This window comes from Homo sapiens, chromosome 20, assembly GCF_000001405.40.
Source record: "Homo sapiens chromosome 20, GRCh38.p14 Primary Assembly".
Taxonomy (NCBI): domain Eukaryota; kingdom Metazoa; phylum Chordata; class Mammalia; order Primates; family Hominidae; genus Homo; species Homo sapiens.
Window position 1 is genome coordinate 11,642,763 of NC_000020.11, and position 9,157 is coordinate 11,651,919.

Genomic DNA, 9,157 nt, shown 5'->3' on the forward strand with positions numbered 1-9,157 from the left:
TTCCATGGGGCCTTTGAGTGTAGTTTGTAGGCATAATGGAAAAAGGAGGAGATTTGTGATTAAGAGGACAGACTAAGATAGATTATATTCGTATTCCTAATATTTACTCTCACTTCCATAAGAAGCTTATACACCTCGGCATATTGCTATGACATACAATGTTTGTGTGAGAAAGACATGTCTGCATACCTGCCTCTGTAGGGGCTGGACCAAGTGACATGCTTTCGCCAACACAATATGGGCAGATGTAATGTTTGCCACCGAGGAGTTTAAGCCTTAAAAGTGATCATGTGTTTCCCCCATCTGTCTTGCTCTTTCCCTCTGCCAGTGAATATGCACTTCTAAATAGTGAGAAAATGTGGAACAGAGTTGGGCAAGTGGCAGCAGCCAGCTGCACCTGCCCAAAAGTAACAAATGTTTGTTGTTGGAAGGCACTGAGATTTGGAAATTAATTGTTACCAAATGAAAGCAAACTAATGAAGAAATCTAACTCTCATAAGAAGGTTTCACATAAGTCTGTTGCAGCTGATACTAGTATAGCTACACAAGCTTTTGTGGTTGTTGTTGCTAATATTTACCTGGTGCACATTTATCTATAATTTTTAGACCTCTCTACTCATGTATTAGACATGTCTTTTGTAGGGAACATATAGCTTGAGCAATGGTTATCAAACTTGAGCATGCCTCAGAATCACCTGGAGTGCTTGTTAAAGAACAGGTCTTTAGGACCCAGCACCATAGATTCTGTTTCAGTAGGTCCGGGGTGGGTTTCGGAATGTGCATTTCTAACAATTTTCCAGGTGATGCTGAAGCGGCTTTGCCCAAAGATCACAATGTAAGGACCACTCAGCTAGTTGTTTCCTTTTTTATTTTTATCTTGCCTGACAATCTTTTCCTGAAACATTTAACCCATTTTTAGCCACTATAATTACTACTATATCTATATCCATGTCTATTATTATTTCTGAGTTTATTTATATTGTTTTTGTGTGTGTGTCTTTGTAGGCCACCTTTTCTGTTGCTTCATCTTTCTTACTTTGTTTAGGTAAATTTTTTTGTTTTTTAATAACATAGAAGTCATACATTCTGCCTCTCTTCTTCTATTGGTTTCCCTAGAAATTGAAGAAACTAAGTTACTAAAGTCAAAAGTTTGTCAGTATCTTTGCACATCGTCCAGACAAAACAAATACTTTAAACACAATAAATTCAATCACTTCTCTTTTTGTTATTATTATCATGTATTATATCTTTTTAAAAAATATTTTGCAAATTATGCCTTATAAAATTTCTATCTGGAATCTGAATCTTGAATTTCATCAGAAATACATCCTCTAGATTTTATTTTACAAGACTGTTAATGATTAACCATATTTCTATTTACACATTTTAACAAACCTTATTTTCACTGTGAAAAGATCATTTTAAGAGAGAATTCTAGGTTAACTACTATTTTCTCCCAGATCATTGAATATATTTGTTGACTATCTTCTGGTTTCCATTGGTTTTACTGTAAAGTTTGCAGTTGGTTGTCTTTTTCACTAAGTTCCTTTGAAAATCTCTTTGCCATGGATTAGTATAATTTTTTCATTTTATTCTGTTTTAAATTTGTTGGGCATCCTAAACCTGAACATTTTTGTCTTACTTTAGTTATACAGAAGTCTCTGACAGTGTTCTCTTCTTCATTGTCTTTCTAAGCTTTATTCTAAATACATTTTCAGATCTATATCTCAGTTAAAAATAATATTCTCTTCAGCTAGATTTAATCTTCACTGAAATCCATCTACTAACTTTTAAAACTTTATAATTATATATGTATTTTTATGTCTAGAAGTTCTATTTGGTTTTACCAAACCTTATTATTTCTATGAGTTTCTTTCTTCTTCCTCATATTTTCACTCATACATAAATTATTAAAATGTATTAAATATCCATTTTATATCTCAGCTGGATAATTGTAATATCTGAAGGATTTGCTGAACTAATTCTCTCTCCTAGCATTTGTTTTCTTTTGTGTTTTAAAGTTATGACTTGTGATTTCATACCCATAATAGACTGAATGCTTGTGTTCTTTTTAAAATCTATATATTAAAATCTAATCCCCAATGTGAATGTATTTGAAGGTGAGGCCTTTGAGAGGTGATTAGGTCATGAGGGTGAAACCCTCATATAAGGGATTAGTGTCCTTATTAGAAGACTCCAAAGAGTTCCCTTGCCCCTCTTTCCACCATGTGAGGATACAAGGGGAAGGCGGCTCTCTGCAGCCTGAAAGAGGGCACTCACCCGGATTCAACCATGATGGCATTCTCGTCTCAGACTTCCAGCCTCAAGGACTGTGAGAAATAAATGTTGTTTAAGCCATCCCATTCTATAGTAATTTGTTATAGCAAGCAGAATTGACTAAAACTATACCCTCAGGATGTTTTACATGGAACTTCTCTGAGATGTGAGTTGAAGCTGGGTCTCTGCCCTCACTCAAAGTGTGATCCATGGGTCAGCAGCAGAGGGTTCACCTGTGAGATTGTAAGACCTGCAGAATCTCAGCCCCGCCCCAGACCTCCTGAATAAGAATTTCTATTTTAATCATAACCTCATGCACAGGAGAATTTGAAAAAGGATAGCTAAGGGAGAATTTGGATTTCTGGGGCTTTTTTTTTTTTAGGGCTTTTTTGCAAGGTACCTGGAGGAATCATTGCACCTTACATGAAATTCTAAGCTGGAGGTTTTTTGGGATCACACAAGTTATATCAATTCAGGATGCAAACTCTTGTGCAGGCTGGTTATAAATTCTCCAAGATGTTTTTCTCCTTTCACCCAGAACCACAGTTCAAAAGGGGCAAATTTCCTAGCAGTTCTCTTAGGGAGCAGGTGGGCAGCATAGATTTACTAATAGATCCCCTGACAGCAAGGGGGCAGTCCATTATAGTGCCAATTTTGGGAGCAGAGATAAACCTAATACACTGCTCCATGGTGTGGTGAGGGCCGAAGGCTGTATCTCCTAATTCTTGCATGCCCAGAAGGCCATAAAATCCGAGGCTCCACATCACGTAGATTCAACAAATGCCTTCTGGACAAACTTGCTTCTCCTATATCCTGCCTGACTCCTACCTGCACTAAGTTTTTAGCTTTTGAATATTCTTTCTTCTTATCGGTTCAGTAATAAATTTGAACATACTCTGTTTTTCAATACTTCTGAGTATTTATTTTTGTTCTAGCAGAAAGGTCGTCTAGAGTAACCTTACATACTCCAAGAAACAGGAACTCCAGCCTTAAGACTCACTTTCATCATGAAGGAGAATGCACACCCAGGGCAGAGACGGTGAAATACTTAACTCGATGACCAAAAGAAGAAGAAAACCAATCGAGAAAGCCTTTTGACTCCTCCCTATTGTTTAATGCAAGTTCCTATTATGTCTTTATCTGGGGCCAAGCACAGTGCTTCTCATATATTACCTTATTTAAATCTCACATCACCCCATACTCACTCTAATTATCGTCATCCTCCTTCCACACATGAGGAAATGGAAGCCCAAGAGGGACAGAATTTTCTCAAGGTCACCTATCCACAAAGGACTAGGATTTGGACCCATGGTCACCTGAGTCCAGTGCTTGCTTCCAGTGTTATGCTGCTATTCTGAAACCGCTCTACCCTACCTCCTGATGGCAGCAGCAGGCTGTCCAGAGCAGCTGTTGCCATCATGTCAGCCACTGCAGGGAGGACACCAGGGAGGAGGCACAGCTGGGTCAAGGGTTGTGCCACGCTCCAGAGGGCCGGTGGAAGCCCCCCTGGAGACCACTGCCCTGGGGGCCACTGTGATGGCGCAGGGAAGGGCGGGCAGAGAGGGGCTCAGTGAGGACCTGGAACCCCCACCCCAGGCTGAGAAAAGGCATGGCCAGGGCTGCCTGCACACTCTATGGAGTGAGCAGGAGCCCTGCTCTCCCAGGCACAGGGTCCCTCTCTGCACTCTGCACTCTGCAACCTCGGGGGCCCCAGGCCCCCTCGGCCTCTCAGGCTTGGGGGTGTCTCCCACTGCCTGACCTCCCCCTACTCCCAGAGCCTGCTCTGATCTCGGAATGGAGTTGGGGCCAAGCCCAGTTGCTGTCACAGCCTGATCAGATGTGCACACATTTGGGGCAGCTCTGACACACCACCCCCCTGCCACCTCAGCCCCCTCCAGAGTTTGGGGTCCAACAAGCATGGGGGAGAAGCTGAGGTGGGGTTGAGGTCAGCTTGGCACTGGCCTGCATGTGCCCCTTGGTGCGAGCAGCCTGGGTGCGATGGACAGTGGCAGGATGCAGACAGGCTCCTGGGTGGAAGGTGGGGGTTCCCCAATGAGGCTCCACCTTCAGGCCAGGAAGGGCCTGAGGGTTATGGGCCCAGCTTCCAGTGCCAGGGTCCGGAGTGGGAACTTATGGTGCCTTCTCCTGATCCACCCATGGCTGCCCATGGACTAATGGGCATGCACTTCCTCCCTTCTGAGGCCCATAAAAGCCCTAGACTCAGTTAGAACTGAACAGACATGGGACAACCAGCTGTGGGGAGGAACTACCAATCTGCTGAGAGCTGGAACAGACAATGGGAGGACTGGCTGCAGAGAGGAGCTACCCTCTCTGCTGAGAGCTGAACACTCATTGGGACGACCTGCCTAGCAGAGAGGAGCTACCCCCTCTGCCAGGAGCTGAACACTCATCAGGACACCCTGGCTATGGAGAGGAGCTGCCTGCTAAAGGTTTCCTCTGAGCTGTTCTATTGCTCAATAAAGCTCAACTTCAACTTGCTCACCCTTCAGTTGTCTGCATACATCATTCTTCCTGTTCACAAGACAAGAATTTGGGACCCACCAAATAGTGAAGATAAAAAATCTGTAACACGAACAAGGCTAAAACATGCCTCTTGCTTACCATGTTACAGGTGAAGAGAAAGAGAGAAGAGCTGGGTGGTCCTTCAGAGAGCCCAGACCTGGGAGCTCCCCAAGCCAGGGCCGTGACTTCCTCTTTGGCAAATAGTGACAAGAATCAAAGGAAACAGAATAATGGAATCCTATGATTGCAACTAAAGTAAGTAAGGAGAAACGTGATGCCCGGATTATGAGTTATTTTTGTCCGTAGATGTTTATTCCAAGAACTGCCTTGATAGATGCAGTTTAGGCAACAGGTAATTCTTAGAGATGATTAATTCCAGGTGGATCAAACCTTAATATCCTTTTGAGGATGATTCACTTCAATTTACTGCATCATTACTTTTAGGAGGCAGCAAATGATACCAAATCCTATACACTCTTGCACATTCACTCCAGCTTCCCTCCCAAGTTGAAAACCATTTAAAAATAATTTGAGATAAAGTTCAGTCAGTTAGCTAGTTACAGCATTCTCTTAGGGTAGCATTAGCATTAATTAATGCTTGCAGATTGCTTTGAAAATCACAAATGCTATGGAAGTGCTGACTATTAATTTAGCAAAAGCACAGGCCATGAAAGTTGAAATTTGAAGGCAGTTGCACACTGATGAAATGTTTTAATACTTAAATGAACCAGCCTGAAGAAAGTCTCTGACATCCCATGTTTATAAATCATGAGGAAAAGAGGTTTAAAATGGAGAGATTTAAAATGAGATTTAGAAGAGAGTACTGAAGTGGAAGTGAATGGGAATGACTGTTGACTATAAGAAGAGAGTAACAAACCTTAGGGATCATCAAAATCACAATTTGGGGTTTCTACATTCATCAATTGGGAGGTCCCCCTTGTGCTGGTAATTGGCAGTAATTCAGGAGATAAGAAAAGGGGGAGAATAGGAAGAAGAGCAACAGAAAAAACAAAAAATATTAAGCGGAAGAAGAAGAAAAGGAAGACAGAGACAAAGCTGAGGAAGAAAAAGGAGAAAACTTATTTAATGAGATGCTAATGAAATGGCATTTCTCCAGTGCGAGTCAGCCCAAGGAGCAGTTATATCCCAATAAGGACTCCAAATTGAAACTACTGTCTGACTCCATCGTCACAAACAGTCCTCTCCAAATTTCTCCTCCTTTCCTGGTTTACCTGTGGATCTGAATGAGCAGATCTTGTGTCCCTTCCTTTTGCAATCATCACATGGCTTCTTGAGATAGGACTGGCATCCTATGCCCCTCCTCATCCTCATCCTATGCCTCCACCAAGACACTTAGGAAGGACTGGTTCTGCTGCCTTCCACACATCTCTGTGTGATCTTTAACTAATTCTTTAGGACTGTCCTTGGTGTTCAACTTCTCCAGTGAGGTCAGCAACATTGGGCCTTTGTCCCCATATCTGTGCTGCTCTGATGGCTGAGACCTATATGCTCTTCCCAATGAAGATTTCCAGGAAAGTGGATTTCCATGGCTGTGAAGATAGCTGAACTATTTAACTTGTTCCCTGGAAGAAACTTTCTCCGTAATTTTGTTGTGGTCCTACAGGAAGGTAAGAACATGAATTAAATGAGCTTATATAGCAATCTGTGATGTTATAGAAAAAGCTCCTTATAGAATAGATAAGAGATTACCTCCCCTACCTCTCTCCTTCCACTTTTCTTTATGTCTTTCCTTATGTTACATTAATTTTTTATTTTAAGCATATCATATATTTGTATTGCAGGATATTTAGAAAATAAAAAATGCATAAAAATTTAAATTTATAAGTGTGTGTGTGTGTGTGTGTATATATATATATATATATATATACACACACACACACATATATATATATATATATATATATATATATATAAACTATAGGTCATCTACCCAGGCATATTCATGCCTTGCATTTAGTCATAGTGTCTGCCTTATATTGATGTATGTTTATATTATATATAATAATATTGTATGGATATTTTTATATTTTATAATTATTTAAATTGTATTATATAAATATAAATTATGTTTGTACTGATAAACTTACAAATATGTTATATTTTTATTTACAAACATATGAATATAAATTATTAAAACAATTATATTATTTATATGTTATATATTTCATTTACATTCTGTTAAAATATAAATACTTGAAAATATTTATCAGATATAAATACTTGTATTTTCATAATTTATATTCATATAAATATTCTTATAAGTATCAGATACAAATACTTGTATTTATAAGATATAAGTATAAAATGCAAGTATTTATATTTTAATATTAATATTATAAAGTATTTTCCATTCATGTCTTCATAATGGATGCTTAATATTGTGTCATGTGGGTATATCACAACTTTTGCTTAAACTTGCAATTGTATTTTTAGTTTTCTCACAGTATTTATCCTTATAAATGATTTTATAAAAAATATCTTTGGGTGAAAAATTTTAAAAGAATTTTTATTAAATGAGACAAGGCTCATTTTCAAAAATATCATTCAAATTTTATGTTTTCTAATTGTCTCTTTTTTTTTTTTTTACTGTGGCTCTTTCTGTAAGTTGTCAAATATACAATTGGACAAAAAGTTATCCTAATCAGGGTAATCAGGTAATCTTTGTGAGTTTAAGGTAAGAAAAACTTTTCGTCTATCCTCTTAGGTTCCATTGCTGGAACCTGTAAATTAAACTGACAAAAAAGAAGAAAAAGTTTACATGCACAGAAGCTTCATATAAAAGAAGTAAAAATCTAAAGGAGTGGTTAGACTTGGGGACTTATATGCTGTTTTAACAAATGGCAATACGTTGTGGAAAGTGACTAGACAAAGAAAAGAGATTTTGGGTTTCAAGAGGCAGTAACTTATGGGAAGGTAAACATATGAGGTAAATTAGTGATAAACAAGGTTTATTTAGTAAGGTTTGCTTACGTAGACTCATTTCAATGCCATCTCTGGTAGGGAGCCATCTCTGAAGTCATTTTTCTCTTCCTGGTTCTGGAGAGAGGGACACCAATAAAAATGGAAATTTCTGCCTTGCATATAGTCAGATGGAGGAATTCAGACAGCTCTTTCTAAATCTGCTCTTTCTCGACTCTCTTCAGCTCAAAATAATCCTTATGCCAATGTAGCATATTTTGAAGTGGCATATTCTGATCCCCTCCATGAGTATGATAATCACATTTCAACAGAATTTGGATTCTGATCAGAGATTTCGAAGCTTATTTAAAGAGCAAAACAAAATGAATTAAACTCTTTCTAAGACATTTGTTAAATGTCCAAAATATGTCAGATGCTAAGCACACCAAGATGGTGCTAGAGAAATCAAGATGAATGAAACATGGTCCCTGTCTGTGAAAGTCTTCTGATCTTTTATTTGGCCTGTGTAGCACGTTGATTGCAAAAAGGGACATAATTCTTCCCCTCTCTGTATTTACAGTATTTATGGCACTGAAGCATTTTATATCTATTTCTCCACCCTTGAGTCTTGGATGGCATGTGACTTGCTTTTGTCAATGAAATGGAACAGAAATGTCAGTATGCTGGTTCCACCTTGAGCCTCAGAGACTGGGTGCACCTGGCAACCCCTGGGAACCTTGCTACTGGCATATAAACAAACTTAAGCTAGCCTGCTGGAAGATCAGAAACCACACAGAGCAGAGAGGAAGTGGCCTACAGAGGCCAACTTGAACATCCAGCCCCTAGCCAAGCTGGCAGTTGACCATAAACACATGCCGTCTAAGGCCAGAAGAATTGCCCAACTATGTCCGGAGTTGTGCACTAAATAAAGGTCATTTGGGAAGGTTGGTAACATGAAAGATACTAATTGATACAGCCTGTAAACCAATTGCACCAATGTGCTTAGTGTCATAATAGAGGAAGAAGCAAGAAGCTATAAGCTGTTGGCTTGTCCTTCTGCTTCAGCTGCTTTTGATCTTGTTGACAACACAGTTTAAGATAATGAGGGTCAAGATATCTTGAAGAGGGGGAGCTTTCTACGAAGGAGTAAAAACATTCTGATAAAGGAGAGTCTGACATATTTTTCTTAAACAATTTTAACTCCTCACATGTGCCTTTCCTGGGCAAGGGTGCAAGGTTACCCAAGCAATAGAGGAAACTGTTGTTGAACTGAGCTACAAATTCTCTTGTTTTTGGATCTGGTCATGGGTGGTTATTGATGGTGCCAGGGAAGTAATTGCATAGGCATTCTGGCCCTGAGAGGCAATACCACTGAGCCATCAGGAATTGCCTAATGTGCCTAAGTTAACAAGGTTATCCAAACAGCTCTTTTCTGCTC